The sequence below is a fragment of the Homo sapiens genome, chromosome 8 (assembly GCF_000001405.40).
Source record: "Homo sapiens chromosome 8, GRCh38.p14 Primary Assembly".
Lineage (NCBI taxonomy): Eukaryota > Metazoa > Chordata > Mammalia > Primates > Hominidae > Homo > Homo sapiens.
The window spans coordinates 18,053,217-18,068,847 of record NC_000008.11 but is presented as its reverse complement, the minus strand read 5'-3'; the positions used below and the strand labels follow the sequence as shown (position 1 = coordinate 18,068,847).

The window sequence follows — 15,631 nt, the reverse complement described above, 5'->3', positions numbered from 1 at the left end:
GGCCTGGGTTGGATATTTCTTTGTCGTGGGCTTGTCTACATTCCAGGATGCCCGGCCTGGGGTGGGTGTCTCTTTTTTGTGGGGCTGTCATGTGCATTGCAGGATGTTTAGCAGCTCAGGATGCCCGGCCTGGGGTGGGTGTCTCTTTTTTGTGGGGCTGTCATGTGCATTGCAGGATGTTTAGCAGTGTCCCTGGCCCTTACCCACTGGATGCTGGTAACACCCCCTCAGTTGTGACAACCAAAAATGTCCTTAGATGTTACCAAATCTCCCGTGGTCGAGAATCATTGCCCTAGCGGCTGAGTGCTGTGGCCACATCCTCCCTATGACACTTGTACCTGCCAAGCACCAAACCCATTATCCCTCACGTGCATGCTCTCGGAGCTTTTGTTTCAGGCTATCCTTTATGTTCATACTTACCGGACTTCCTCAAAACAAAAAAATGCTGGCAGGAGCAAAAGAGGATGAGGCCCCCACGTTCCCCGTATGCCTTAATCTCCCCTCTACTCTGAATGTTATCAGGGAGGGCAACATTGCAGAGAGTTTTTGTGCCACGCCTTGGAATCGGACAATACTGGGTTTTAAGGCTGGATCAGTCACATACTAGCCTTGTGTCCTAGGGAAAGTTTCTTAACCTATGAAACCTCAGTTTTCTCATCAGGGAGAATAATAATTACTAATATATATTTCATATGGTGGTTGTAAGGGTTAAATGACATACTGTGTATAAAGCATAGTGCTTGGATGTAATAAGTGTTTAATAAATACCCATTACGTCACATTTGTTTGTTAAATGGCTGGAACATTCCACTTGGGGAATGCTTTGAGTTCCTAGGGAGAAAAAAAATATGTTTAGGTGACATTACATGTAATTACCAAGTTGGTTAAAAAAGTGAGATTCGTGAATTTTAAGCAGATTATCTCAGCAAAAGGCCGTGAACTTAAGTTGTGATCTGGATGTTAGTAGTTGCCATTGAGAATAAATATATGATGTCCACCACTGAATTTGCTCAATGTCTCTGGTTTGCTAAAAGAATGCAGTTACTTCATCTTAGCTGAAGATCAGCCATTAACCATGACACAGGGCTATGGATAGAATAGTGCAGGTTTATCTCTGTGAGTGTGGGAAGGAAATGGTAAGAACGGTATATGCCAGTGGCTAGAGGGTGAATTCGTGCAGAGAGATAAGGAGTGCTTGTTATGATGTTTTTGTGGTGTGGGTCAGGTTAGGTCATCCAAGTGGAATTACTCTCGTTCCTGCCTTCTCTGGAGAATGATGGAAAAATAAGGCAGGAAAAACAATCTGAGAATCTGGTCTCTGTATAGGGGCCCAATATTCAGTATTACATAGAATCTTTTTATAACTACATGATGTAAAAATGCTTTAAAAAATAATTCCTATCACTTATTATGATAGCAGTATCTAGAAAAAATTATATGTCCAAGAACTAGATTTCAAAGCATGCTTTTATTATATTTGTTTATATTATATTATATATTTTTTATTGTTATTATGTTAAATGCTTTTATTAATATATTTGTTTTCCAGCCTGGCCTACTTGGCAACTTTCCTGGCCCTTTTGAAGAGGAAATGAAGGGTATTGCCGCTGTTACTGATATACCTTTAGGTAAAGTTCACTTAGAAGCTTTAAAAAAAAAAGTAATTAAATTCTTTTACAAGTTTCCATTGAGGTGTGATATACATACAGCACAGGTGCTGTATGTCTTAGATATACAGCACAGGTGCACAGGTCTTAGATATACAGCTCAGTGAAGCTTCAGAAATGCATGCATGCATGTAGCCATGACTCAGATCAAGATACGGAAGAGCCCAGCACTCCACGATGCTCCATCATGCCCCTTTGCAGAAAATACTGCCTCCTCCAGTAAACACTATTCTGATGTCACTATAGATTAGTTTTGCCTCTTCGTGAACTTTGTATAAATAGAACTGAACAATATGAACTGTCCTGTGTGATTTCTTGTATTTCATTATGGGTGGTGTGCTATTGTATCAACAGGGTATTTGGGTGGTTTTCAGATTTGTGATATTAACAATAAAGGAATTATAAATATTGTAGTACATTTTGGGGGTGTCTGGGTACTCATTTTCTGGATATATACCTAGGAAGTGAACTGTTGTGTTATAGAGTAATTGTGTGTTTAGCCTTATAGATTCTGCCAAACAGTTTTCCAAAGTGATTCCAGCAGTTGACAATCAGCAGAGTATGAGAGTTTCAGTTTTCTCCTCTTGATAATTCTCCTCTCGATAGTGTCAGTCTTTTTTTTTCCTTTTTTTTTGTTAGTGTCAATCTTTATTTGAGCCTTTTTGTTGAGTGTCGCAGTATCGCATTTTAGTTTCAATTTGCATTTCCTTGATGATTAATGAGATTGAACAGTTTATTGACTTTTTTTTTTTTTTTTTGGTTTTCTTTGTTTCTTTTGGAGAAGGGCTTGTGAAGGTCTTTTGCCCTTTTAAAAATTAGATTGAAGGAATTTTTTACATACTTTGAATATAAGCCCTTTGTCAGATATATGGATTCTGAATATCTGCTCCCAGTCTATGACCTTCATTTTTATTCTCTTACTTTTGTCTTTTGATGAACAGAAATTTTTAATTTTAGTGAAGTCTAATATCTCAGTCTTCTCTTTTATGAGTAGTGCCTTTTGTATCCATTTAAGGAATCTTGGCCTACCCCAAAGTCATATATATATGCTTATATATTTTCTTCTAGATGTTTAATGTTTACTTTTTACATTTAGGCCTATCATCTATTTTGAATTATTTTTGTATATGCTATGACTTATGGGTCAAGCTTCAGGTTTTTCTCATGTGGTATATCCAGTTAGTTAAACAGCATCAATTCAAAAGGCTATCCTTTCCTCAGCAAATTGCAGTGGTGTCTTTGATATAAATATACAATACATATATATATACACACACACACACACACACACACACACAATGTGTATCTGTATATACAATCAGGTGATTGTATATATGTTGTTTTGTTTGGGGAATTAAGTTTCATTTACATATTTGTCTTTTTGTCTTCCCTTATATCAATACTATTTCACCTCAGTTACTAAAGCTTTATAGTAAGTCTTCAAATTAGGTGGTATAATTCTTCCAACTTTGTTTTTCTCAATATTTATTTAAGTTACTGATTTCTCTGAGCAGTATCTTTTATTTTCAGGGAGAAGACCTCACATGCCATTCGTTAAAATTATTCTTAGATATTGATGGTTTGGGAAGCTATTTTTAAAATTTCAATTTAAGCTTTATGGCATGTAACGAAAAATATTTTCCCCACGACCCCAAAAGTTTTATCTTTAAGCTAGCAAAGCAGTAGTGTCATTATTTTAAATAGCCAACAGTACCTTCATTTTATGAGATGATTGAGAATTTGTGAAAATCAGTAGTATTTATCAACAAAAGTGGCTAGTTTTGTGTGCTGCTTCTTTAAAAAACTCATTTAAAAGATAGCATACTGGAAATATGTACTTGCTGCCTTTATGGAAAGCAAGTCTAATTCCTTTATTATGTAAAGAACTCTAGCAACTCAATACCAAATAGAAATACCTTATGGATTAAGAAGAATAACATGATGTATAAGTGGTGTAAATTTATATAATTATTATAAATTATTATAAATGTATAATAAAATAACTAGAATTTCACCAAATTAGAAATTTAATGGAAATAAAATACACATTGGATTTGGGTGAAAAAAACATGTTGAGCTTAACATGTTAATGTTAAATGGGACAGAAATACAATGTGCTGCCTACTTTTGAATTAAATGCTAAATAGCAGTATTATACATTTTGGGAAAATATTCAAAAAATAAAATACCCTAGAATGGAGTTTCTTGGCAGCTCTGTACTAATTTTAATAGTTCTTGAATCTCCTTTTTCACCTTAGAAATTTTAGTCACACTTTAAAAATCTGGGCAAAATATATGTCCAGCAAACAGCCAAGAGCCAGATGTATTAAATGATCATATTTACGCTCCCAAAAGAAAATTCAAAATGAAGCATGTTGATAAACATTTTGGATGTGATGTTGGAGAACAATTGCAACCTGCCCAGATGTTCAGCTCGCCCGAAGGCTGCCTCCTTGGTGACTTGTTTCATCTTGAGTCTAGAGAGTCCAGGCTGGGGAAGAAAACCACCTCCAGCCGGCCGTTCCAGCACAGCCCCACTGGCCAAAGCACACACTCACACAATGAAAACACTGAAACTTTTTCTTAAAACAAATTTTTCTCCCATTGTCATGGTTCTGTATATTAACACAAAATTTTCTTTTCTCATAGGAGAGATTATTTCATTCAATATTTTTTATGAATTATTTACCATTTGTACTTCAATAGTAGCAGAAGACAAAAAAGGTAATTGTGCGCTGAGGGAGGGTGGGCAGCATGAAGCACTACATAAAGAAAAATCTTCTAAATGAAATTAGAACTTCTGAAATTTGGGCTTGCTATGTAAATTCTGTGTATGTTGCATACAGCTTTTTATTTCTTGGTAAAATTTTGTGATTGTACTGAAAATTTTCCTTATTTTCAGACTACTGTACTGCCTATTAAAGTTGATTTCAGACATGCAAAAAACCTGGAAGAAATGTTGCAGGGCTAGAAACATTCTTCTCTTCCTCATAGTTTACTTCTACCCATCTACATGCTTTGATGGAAGTGCTCGCAGGAGGTGCTTCCTTATCTTCGTGTATGTCATGACATCTGTCCTTTTCTTGAGGCCCAGAACACACATTCTCCCATCCTTTCCCAGCCAGGCAACCCAATGGATACCAGCCTCACTTTCCCGTATTTTTCCTGACTGGTTCCCAGAGTACAAAGCACAGGACAACTTCGCTAACTCACCCTGATCTTTGACCTATACTCTGGGTATAAATCTGCCTGTACCTTACCCTTGAGATGTCCTGCTCTAGGGGATGATGCCTGAAGGGAAACATTTGATGAATCACAGTAATTGAGGCTCCGATTTCTGTGTCCTGGTAGAACCATGTGATAGTGAACCAAAACATGACCATTGATTCCTTTTCCCATATTCTGATCTTACCTGGAAACCCGTGCTCTCAGATTTTGTGGGGTTATCTGGCAGATAGACGGTGACAACAGTCCCATCTGGTGAAGGCTTAGGATATTAGGATGTTTCTTACTTCTTATTGTTTGAAGAAACAGTTGTGAATAAAAATTAATCAAAATTAGAGGCCAGGCACAGTGGCTTACACCTGTAATGCCAGCACTTTGCGAGGCCGAGGCGGGCGAATCATCTGAGGTTGGGAGTTTGACACCAGACTGGCCAACATGGTAAAACCCCTTCTCTACTAAAAGAAAAATACAAAAAAAAAAAAAAAGTAGCCAGGTGCGGTCGCACATGTCTGTAATCCCAACTACGTGGAAGGCTGAGGCACAAGAATTGCTTGAACCTGGGAGGCAGAGGTCGCAGTGAGCTGAGATCGCACCACTGCACTCCAGTCTGGCCAACAGAACGAGACTCTGTCTCAAAAATAAATTAATTAATCAAAATTAATTGTCCAGCTTTGATTTAGAATCTTAACTGCTATTACACGTCTCTTCTGTCTACCTTCAAATAGGTCATCTAATACATGGGAGAAACATGGATTTTGGAGTATTTCTTGGGTAAGTAAAGAACAAAGGGTCAGGCATGGTGGTTCACGCCTGTAATCCCAGCTTTTTGGGAGGCTGACACGGGTGGATCACGAGGTCAGGAGTTCAAGACCAGCCTGGCCAAGATGGTGAAACCCCGTCTCTACTAAAAACATAAAAATTAGCCAGGCATGGTGGTGGGCATCTGTAATCCCGGCTACTTGGGAGCCTGAGGCAGAGACTTTTTTGAACCTGCGAGGCGGAGGTTGCAGTGAGCCGAGATCGCGCCACTGCACTGCAGCTTGGGATACAGAGCCAGACTCCATCTCAAAAAAAAAAAAAAAAAAAAGAACACAGAACTGTTTTGGTCTGTAGGAAGAGTAGGTTGTGTTATATTGATGATAAGTAAGTCCCAAGTCACACCCAAAATGTGATCATAAGTGAAGATAAATGGATTGCTTGAGTGCTGAGACAAGAGGGACATGCTCTTCTATTTTATGTGTCCATCTTGACCTTTCTGAAAAAATAAGAATATTGTAATTAGCATTCTATGTTTGAATCTGAGGCTCACTATTTATAAGCTGTGTGATATTGAGAGAGTTACCTGACTTCTCTGAACCTCAATTTTATCATTTGGAAAACAGAATAAATATACCATATTGTAAAGGTCTTGTTAGGATTGATCGTGGTGACTCGGTAAATAAAGCTCCTAGTGTAATGCCTGGCCCTCATCATCATGTTGATCATTACTATCACTGTGTTTCTGAAATGTCACTGAAACATGTCTTTTATAGGTGGAACATAAATAATGATACCTGGGTCATAACTGAGCAACTAAAACCTTTAACAGTGAATTTGGATTTCCAAAGAAACAACAAAACTGTCTTCAAGGCTTCAAGCTTTGCTGGCTATGTGGGCATGTTAACAGGATTCAAACCAGTAAGGAGTCTGTTGTTACATAATTATACAGGTAGCCTTCTGTCCTGTTACCGTTATGTAAAAGTTGAAATCTAAGAATATGAGGACCTAAAGGGAATATGAAGCCCCATTTCACCCCCTTGTACTTCTTGTCACTTCATAGGTATGAGATCTCGTGGTAGAGAAGAGTAGAAAGGAAACGGAGGTTTCTGAGCCTCTTCTGGGATAAAGAGCATGTGGCTGGGTGTCAAGGGCTGGGAGTCACAATCTGATTTCTAGTCCTGGGTCTTCCGCTCACTTAGGCAAGTCAGGCGTTCATTCTCTGCCCTTCAGTTTCCTGTCCAAAAAGCGTTGCCAGTGATACCCCACCTACTTATCTCACATACTAGAATCAAAAATGCTTTGAACTTTTTAAAAAGCCTTTTATGGTTTTGATTTATTTTTGCCTTCCCCATTACCCAAGCTAGGCCTTTATATCCCACTCTGAAGTACAGTGAGCGACAGGGCCTTAAAGCGCATGGTTGATGTTTCTGACTTCGTTGCTTTGTCTTTTTCTCAGGGACTGTTCAGTCTTACACTGAATGAACGTTTCAGTATAAATGGTGGTTATCTGGGTAAGTAGAGCATTCTCAAGTGAAATGGGAATCTCAGAGCTTTTTTATGAGGAAGGCTGGACTGTGCCTTCTGGTTACAAAGTCCAACCTCTTCCGGTTCCCGACTGGTTACAAAGTCTAACCTCTTCTGGTTCCTGACTGGTTATATAGTCCAGCCTCTTCCGGGTCCTGACTGGTTACATAGTGTCACCTCTTCCGGTTCCTGACATTGTGTTCATCTCTTCCAGGTATTCTAGAATGGATTCTGGGAAAGAAAGATGTCATGTGGATAGGGTTCCTCACTAGAACAGTTCTGGAAAATAGCACAAGGTAAAGTGTTTCGTTGCTTTACTATTAAATATTTATTTTAAATTACTCATATTAAAAAATAAAAATATTTGTCAAGCTCCAGCTTAATCCTTTGAGGAACTATTGCAGAATTTCTTAGGTGAACCTCTGACACTCATGTGGAATTACTCATGTTTTCTTCGTGCAGACTGTGTGTTTTATAGCAAATAAATGAATTACTTAAAAAGCACTAGGGATACTGACATTATGAAAGGCACCTATGAATATTTTTGGTGTACAGAAAAAAAATGACCCACACACAAAAGAACAGTCATACAGTAAAATCTTCATTTAAATGGTAGTACAGACCAGGCACAGTGGCTTATGCCTGTAATCCTCACGCTTTGGGTGGCTGAGATAGACAGATGACTTGCACCCAGGGGTTTGAGACCAGTCTGAGCAACATGGCGAAACCCCGTCTCTATAAAAAATACAAAAATTAGCCAGGCATGGTGACACGTGCCTGCCTGTAGTCCCAGCTACTCAGGAGGCTGAGGTGGGAGGATCACCTGAGCCCAAGGAGGTCGAGACTGCAGTGAGCTGGGATCAGTCCACTGCACTTCACCCTGAGTGATAGAGTGAGACTCTGTCTTAAAAAAACAAAATAAATAAATACAAAATGTACTACATATTAACCTGTAAGTTATATCTTGCCTTGGTATAGAAATCTTACAATAGCAAAACTGCCTTTCCTTCATTCAGCCAGCACTGCGTCCAAATAAATGGGCATCAATCCTATTTTTAATACTTCCCAGGGAATAAGATTTAATGTTAGTAGTGTTCTTTGATAACCCACTTCAATTTTTAATAGTCCTAATTTTCAAGAAGGTTTACTTTCTGTTCTCTAAGTCCTACATACTGTAATATTATTTCCCTTTGTTCTGTTGTTGAGTGAAAGGCATGGACAGTAAGGGTGGAAGATGATCTCTTGAGGCCACTTTGTTTCTCCTTCAGATTAGAGGGGCTTCCTAAGATTCCCGCTTCCCATCTCAGTGTTCACCATACAGGGTCAGGGATTGCTTTTCCCAGAGGCATTGCTCACCATCCTTTTTTAGAAAACACATTGTGGCTGGCCATGGTGGCTCATGCCTGTAATCCCAGTACTTTGGGAGGCGAAGGCAAGAGTATCGCTTGTGCCAAGGAGTTCGAGACCAGCCTGGGCAACAGAGTGAGAGCCCATCTCTAAAAATAGAAATAAATAAATAACACATTCCTTAGATACTTGTTTTTCTTTAGTTTCTACAGAGCTAAACATTTCCGTTCTAAGTCATCTAAAAATGTTTCCCACCATCATCCTCAGCAAACTAACACAGGAACAGAAAACCGAACACTGCATGTTCTCACTCATAAGTGAGAGCTGAACAAAGAGAACACGTGAACACAGGGAGGGGAACATCACGCACCAGGGCCTGTCAGGGGGTGGGGTGAAAGGGGAGGGAGAGCATTAGGACAAATACCTAATGCATGTAGGGCTTGAAACTTAGATGATGGGTTGATGGGTGCAGCAAACCACCATGGCACGTGTGTACCTATGTAACAAACCTGCACGTTCAGCACATGTGTCCCAGAACTTAAAGTAAAATTTAAAAATAAATGAAGTTATTTACTAAAATTAAAAAAAAGTTTCATTTTTCTTTTTAAATGTTTCTATATAGTTATGAAGAAGCCAAGAATTTATTGACCAAGACCAAGATATTGGCCCCAGCCTACTTTATCCTGGGAGGCAACCAGTCTGGGGAAGGTTGTGTGATTACACGAGACAGAAAGGAATCATTGGATGTATATGAGTAAGTAGGTTTGTTAAAGCAAAAGAAGTAGAAACAAAAGCATACACTGATATACTTTGAGTTTTAAGGCATGTAGCCTAAGAGGGAATCTCTCCTTTTGTATCTAGACTCGATGCTAAGCAGGGTAGATGGTATGTGGTACAAACAAATTATGACCGTTGGAAACATCCCTTCTTCCTTGATGATCGCAGAACGCCTGCAAAGATGTGTCTGAACCGCACCAGCCAAGAGGTACCTTTGCAGGGTCATCTATAGAAAGAAACTGTTGCCATTAAAGATTCCCTTGGTTCTGGCATTTTTCTTTGGCCTTCAAGTAATTTATAAACGTCCTATTTTTCATAGTATCTCTAGCCACTCTCCACTGATTTTTTTGTTTCGTTTTCTTAACTTAAAGAGCAAAATTGTGCTGTACTTTCCTTTTCTGGTTCTAATGCTGGATACCACTCTGAAGTTGAATAACAAACAGGCAAGAATTTAAAAAAGGGGAAGGAGAGAGAGGAAAGTAATCCATTAAAACTGTTACCTGTGTTTCTAACAGTGACTCCCACAGAAACTCCACTGCGGGGATGGAGGGGAGGTTGATTAAAGAATGTCTTGGTTTCTGGTGGCCCATGTGTGTAGATAAGGCTGTTGGCTTCTGTATTTAACTTACTGAACAAAACTATTTTCTTGTGTTTTAGAATATCTCATTTGAAACCATGTATGATGTCCTGTCAACAAAACCTGTCCTCAACAAGGTATTTTAAATGTTATATGTATATTTGCCTTTTAGGGAAAGAATTTGGCCCTATGTTTTATCTTTCTCTGTTATCTTTGATCAGTTTGAGCACAAAAGGTGTGTTCAGCTTAGGACTGATTTTTTATTAAAAAATGTTTTTGTGTGGCTAAAACTGTATTTTGGAATACAAGAAAGAAATTGATCACTGAGGCTTGATAGGTCAGAATATTGTTTATAGCTTTATTTACATAGCATTTGAATTAAGGCTAGCATTTTACTCTTATTGGTATCTATTAAAAATCTCACACTATATAACTAACACCTAAATGTCAACAAAACAAAGTCTGCAGTCCATTTTCAGACAGAGCTCTGTGTCTTGGTGGGTTCGGGTTTCCCTTAAACTTTACTACATCTGTTTATCTTTTCCCTACACTGTAGTTTTAAAAAAATGCAAAAAGTTTCCTATCATCCCACCACTCGCTAACAATCATTCCCTGAACGTTCTGAATATGCCCCCCTAATTTTCCCATTTGTTCCTTCTTTTCTTGGTCCTTCTCCACAGCTCTCCCTAAAGTAAACATGCCGCCTTTACCCTGCCAGGACAAATCCCTCCGGCCTTTAGCATCCAGGTCACCCTGGCTCTCACAGGAAGCCTGCCTTCAGTTCACGGGCCCTGCCATACTTGCGTTTTGCCTATACCATCTTTGAGCAAGTCACAATCTCGTGACTTGTGTTTGGGTGTGTGCCTTGTGATCTGGGTGCCTGCAGTTTCCCCCACTGTATTGGAAATGCTTTAAGGATAGGGATAGCCAAAGCTCCACGGTTTTTACTCCATAGGACACCGGCAGGTCTCCCAGGACTGCCAGCTGTGCGTCAAGGAGGGTTAAGGCAGTCTTAAAGCATTGGGGGTGGAGCAATGTGCTGTCAGGAATAAGCTCCTATAAGGAGCTGGAGATTCTTTCCTGAGCCTGTTTATATTCATTACCTGAAACAGTGATCCTGTTGAAGTTGTTTGCTTTAGTTATTTGGTGAGACTTTAGCTAATTTTATATGATTATACTATATTAATATAAATATATACATTATATAACATGCTTTGCATATATTAAGTTATATTATTTAATATTAAATAACTTCTAAAGCAAATTCTACAAGTATAGAAATGCTAATATATATCAGAACATCTCTGAATTGAAAACGTCCTTAAAGTAAAAATAACTTTTCTTTCAGCTGACCGTATACACAACCTTGATAGATGTTACCAAAGGTCAATTCGAAACTTACCTGCGGGACTGCCCTGACCCTTGTATAGGTTGGTGAGCACACGTCTGGCCTACAGAATGCGGCCTCTGAGACATGAAGACACCATCTCCATGTGACCGAACACTGCAGCTGTCTGACCTTCCAAAGACTAAGACTCGCGGCAGGTTCTCTTTGAGTCAATAGCTTGTCTTCGTCCATCTGTTGACAAATGACAGATCTTTTTTTTTTCCCCCTATCAGTTGATTTTTCTTATTTACAGATAACTTCTTTAGGGGAAGTAAAACAGTCATCTAGAATTCACTGAGTTTTGTTTCACTTTGACATTTGGGGATCTGGTGGGCAGTCGAACCATGGTGAACTCCACCTCCGTGGAATAAATGGAGATTCAGCGTGGGTGTTGAATCCAGCACGTCTGTGTGAGTAACGGGACAGTAAACACTCCACATTCTTCAGTTTTTCACTTCTACCTACATATTTGTATGTTTTTCTGTATAACAGCCTTTTCCTTCTGGTTCTAACTGCTGTTAAAATTAATATATCATTATCTTTGCTGTTATTGACAGCGATATAATTTTATTACATATGATTAGAGGGATGAGACAGACATTCACCTGTATATTTCTTTTAATGGGCACAAAATGGGCCCTTGCCTCTAAATAGCACTTTTTGGGGTTCAAGAAGTAATCAGTATGCAAAGCAATCTTTTATACAATAATTGAAGTGTTCCCTTTTTCATAATTACTCTACTTCCCAGTAACCCTAAGGAAGTTGCTAACTTAAAAAACTGCATCCCACGTTCTGTTAATTTAGTAAATAAACAAGTCAAAGACTTGTGGAAAATAGGAAGTGAACCCATATTTTAAATTCTCATAAGTAGCATTCATGTAATAAACAGGTTTTTAGTTTGTTCTTCAGATTGATAGGGAGTTTTAAAGAAATTTTAGTAGTTACTAAAATTATGTTACTGTATTTTTCAGAAATCAAACTGCTTATGAAAAGTACTAATAGAACTTGTTAACCTTTCTAACCTTCACGATTAACTGTGAAATGTACGTCATTTGTGCAAGACCGTTTGTCCACTTCATTTTGTATAATCACAGTTGTGTTCCTGACACTCAATAAACAGTCACTGGAAAGAGTGCCAGTCAGCAGTCATGCACGCTGATTGGGTGTGTACATCTGTGTTGGTTTGGAGGAGGGGGGTTATTATCAAGAAATACAAGCTGAACATCGTATCTGAATTAAATAACAAGGGTTATGTAAGTGGGTTATTAAATATGACTAAACGGTCACAATCTTACTCTTACATGACTGATACCACCTCTTAACCAGATACTATCAACCCAATTTGCAGGTGTTTAAAGGCAGTTTTTCCCCCAGATAGGTGGTGCTTCCACAAAACTTTAGTGATTCCAAGATTACTTTAGTGAAACGAGGAATTATAAGAGGATTTACATTAAAATAGGATTTAATTAATGAAAAAAAAACTTTACTCAGATTTTCTACCTCTTACATAAATGAAGTCAGGTCAACTTGATGTATTTTTTTGTTAATGTAATAACCTTTGATATGCCTGATAGTAAAGAGGTGAGATGCTAATTGTTTCAGACCGATTTCTCCGGAGTAAATCAAAGTTTACAAGAAATAACAGGTATTAAGATTTTAGGAAGTAATTGTTTAGTGGTAAAGCAGTTTTAAAATAGGATATACAGGATGAGCCTGTTTATATAACACTTTATATATGTACTTATGCATAACTAGATACACATCTAGAATATCAAAAGATGACTGGGAGGATATTAACCAAAATGCTGACTGTAGTTCCTACTGGATAATGGCAAGTGCTATTTTAATTTTGAGAGGACAAAACTTAGTAGCCATTGGACATTAATGAGACTCTATTTTTAGAAATACTATAAAAAAATAAGGTCCAGGTTGGATCCAAACCATGGGCTCCATCTAATTTCCCTGCCAAGTTTTCGGGAGTTTGATTGTGAATGGAAGGCTGAATCCTACCTGTATTCCTTCACACATCGAGCTCCTCAGTCACTCATCTTAATTAGAGCTCTTGCTTATCCATTTATGTACCAGGCCTTGTGATTGATAAGGTGCTTGACCTAGATTACCTCCTCAGCAAACCCCGGTATCACTTGTAATCACACTTGCCAGCCATGGAAGTAACTTGCTGAAAGTTGCATTAACAGAAGGGCTTAGAGCCAGGGTTTTAGCCAGGTCTGTCCAACTCCTGCGCTCTTATGACACCCGAATTCTTGACTTTACAAGTAGGATTGAGAAACAGCTCTGTCCTATGAGACCCACACTTCTGCTGCCATGGACCAGGCCACCCTGCTGAGCCTGGACACCACTGTGTCACTGCCTTCTACTTGTTCTGTGTCAATTATTAATGTTCCCATAGGGATCAGAAACCCTTTGGTGTTAGGAGCTGACAGGTCACCTGTTTTTGACTACCCTGAGTCTGAATCGTGCTCAGCTTGTGGGGAATGCGTTAAGAGCTCCTCAGTCTTTCTGTGGCTGTGACCCAGGAGTACGTGAAAAATATGAATAGTTCAGAAATTTATAAAAAGTCACTATAAAACCTCACACAGTCATTATTGAAGTTAGTCTCACAAAGTGAAGCATAGTTTTTGTTTATTGGTGACAATTTACAAAATACTTGCCAGCTTAGCCTCACATATGACAGATGTGACCAGCAGGCTCCAGACCACACCGAGCTGCATGCTGGCCCCGTCTACAAGCCTGGGGAAGTGTGGCTGGGCTCCTCAACCTTCACAACTTGGGGAGGTTGCTCAGCTCACATGAAAATCAGTCCTCTCTTTTTCCCTAGGGCACTCTGTCCCTCTTATGTTGATAAAGTGGGTTTCCCAGCCAGGTGGCACAGGGGATGCTAGACTGGTGTGCGTTGGGCAATTCTCTGTGGCAGTTCTGGACATCTTCAAGGATGCTTGTCTAGGCAGAGGACAGATTTGTTTCCTGACTACGGTAATAAAGATCATCATCTACCTGTAGGGCAAAGGTTGGATGAGTTGATTGGAGAAGCAGCCCATCTTATAACTCGAGGGGTTTCCTGAGCTTGGGGTTCCTCAGCTGTGATACAGATGATACATCATAAATTGGGTTGTCACACATCACCTCCTTGGGGGACTTGGGGTGGGGGGCAAATGGCATTCCCAGAGCAATACAGTCCTTTGCCTTTGGCCCAGGAGTCTGCCAGCATCCAGGAAGCTGTGGCAGGCTAGGTCATTAGCTTGCAAGCAGGGTAAAATCTCAGGCCCTTCACAGGGCCGCAGCTTTGGGGCAGCTGGGCAGGGTCTAGGCATACCAGCCTCCAGGCTGCCTCCCACAGCCCGGGCTTCCTCTGGGGCTCCTTGAAGGGCAGACTGGGACAGTGATACGGTTTGGGCCTGTGTCCTCACCCAAATCTCATCTCGATTTGTCAAGGGAGGGACCAGGTGGAGTTGATTGGAGCATGGGGGTGGTTTCCCCCATGCTGTTCTCGTGATAGCTAGTGAGCTCTCACGAGAGCTGATGGTTTTAAAGTGTGGTGCTTCCTGGTTCTCCGACTTGCTTCTCTCCTGCCTTGTGAAGGCGTCGTCTCCCGCCCTCTTGCCTTCTGCCACGATTGTCAGTTTCCTGAGGCCTCCCCAGCCATGCGGAACTGTGAGTCGATTAAACCTCTTTACTTTATAACTTAGCAGTGCGAAAACGGACTAATACAGACAGAGTGGGATAGACTGCATCCCTCTGTGTTCTCACAGGCTGGGAAGGGAGGTGTGGGGCATGCAAGGTATGGAGAAAGTTAGTAAAAATCACTGGCCCTGTGGACCAGAAGAGACCTGGGCCAACTAGGTTTTGCCTCTGTCAAATACAAAATCCTCATAAGGAAACTTAACCATTCAGCCCTCACTGGGGGCCCCCCCAATTGTTTTTCACCAAGACCCAAACTTGGCTTGGTCGTCCCGGTCGTCAGTGGCAGCAATAACACCTGGAACTTGTTGCTCCCATTGCAAGGTTGAGCAATAGCAGCTGGCCTGCAGATCTCACAGACAAGCGGCCTGTGGCACAACTGGAGTTTATGTTCCAGGTGCGCAGAATGCCGCACACAGCCCTGCTGCAGAGGTGGGAGGGAGGCGCATAGGCACTGCGGTCTCCTGGTGGATTCAGCTCCAGGCAGCATCCCAAACATTCACTTCACATGTATCTGATTACTGTGTCCATTTGTAGCTGACAGGCCAATTTGGAGGCATCTCAGCTGGCTGCCTATGACTGTTGTTAACAATTCAAGTGCTTTCTGCAAAATAGGGCATTGTTATTTTAAAATACTTCATTGGAATTTTTTGTTTTGTTTTGTTTTGT

General features: G+C 40.0%; 1 protein-coding gene across 5 annotated transcripts in view, besides 1 other annotated feature; it reads left to right on the top strand.

Annotated features, from left to right (window-relative positions):
- Nucleotides 1–12,856, top strand: part of ASAH1 (N-acylsphingosine amidohydrolase 1) — a 28,970-nt gene extending 16,114 nt beyond the window's left edge. For all 5 annotated transcript variants that reach the window (NR_199644.1, NM_004315.6, NM_001127505.3 and 2 more), the window contains exons 5-14: nt 1,550–1,628; nt 4,317–4,391; nt 5,618–5,663; nt 6,425–6,569; nt 7,108–7,162; nt 7,390–7,471; nt 9,145–9,276; nt 9,384–9,507; nt 9,957–10,013; nt 11,225–12,856. Coding sequence is in view for 4 of the 5 variants with exons in the window: in NM_004315.6 (NP_004306.3) it covers nt 1,550–1,628; nt 4,317–4,391; nt 5,618–5,663; nt 6,425–6,569; nt 7,108–7,162; nt 7,390–7,471; nt 9,145–9,276; nt 9,384–9,507; nt 9,957–10,013; nt 11,225–11,314 (885 nt within the window). In the remaining variant the exon portion in view is untranslated. The remainder of the gene's footprint in view (nt 1–1,549; nt 1,629–4,316; nt 4,392–5,617; nt 5,664–6,424; nt 6,570–7,107; nt 7,163–7,389; nt 7,472–9,144; nt 9,277–9,383; nt 9,508–9,956; nt 10,014–11,224) is intronic.
- Nucleotides 14,659–15,232: an enhancer, noted in NCBI's record as "H3K27ac-H3K4me1 hESC enhancer chr8:17911125-17911698 (GRCh37/hg19 assembly coordinates)". NCBI's record gives its function as "activates a minimal SCP1, AML or CMV promoter by ChIP-STARR-seq in naive H9 embryonic stem cells {active_cell/tissue: H9 hESC(naive)}" and the evidence as "EXISTENCE:reporter gene assay evidence [ECO:0000049][PMID:30033119]".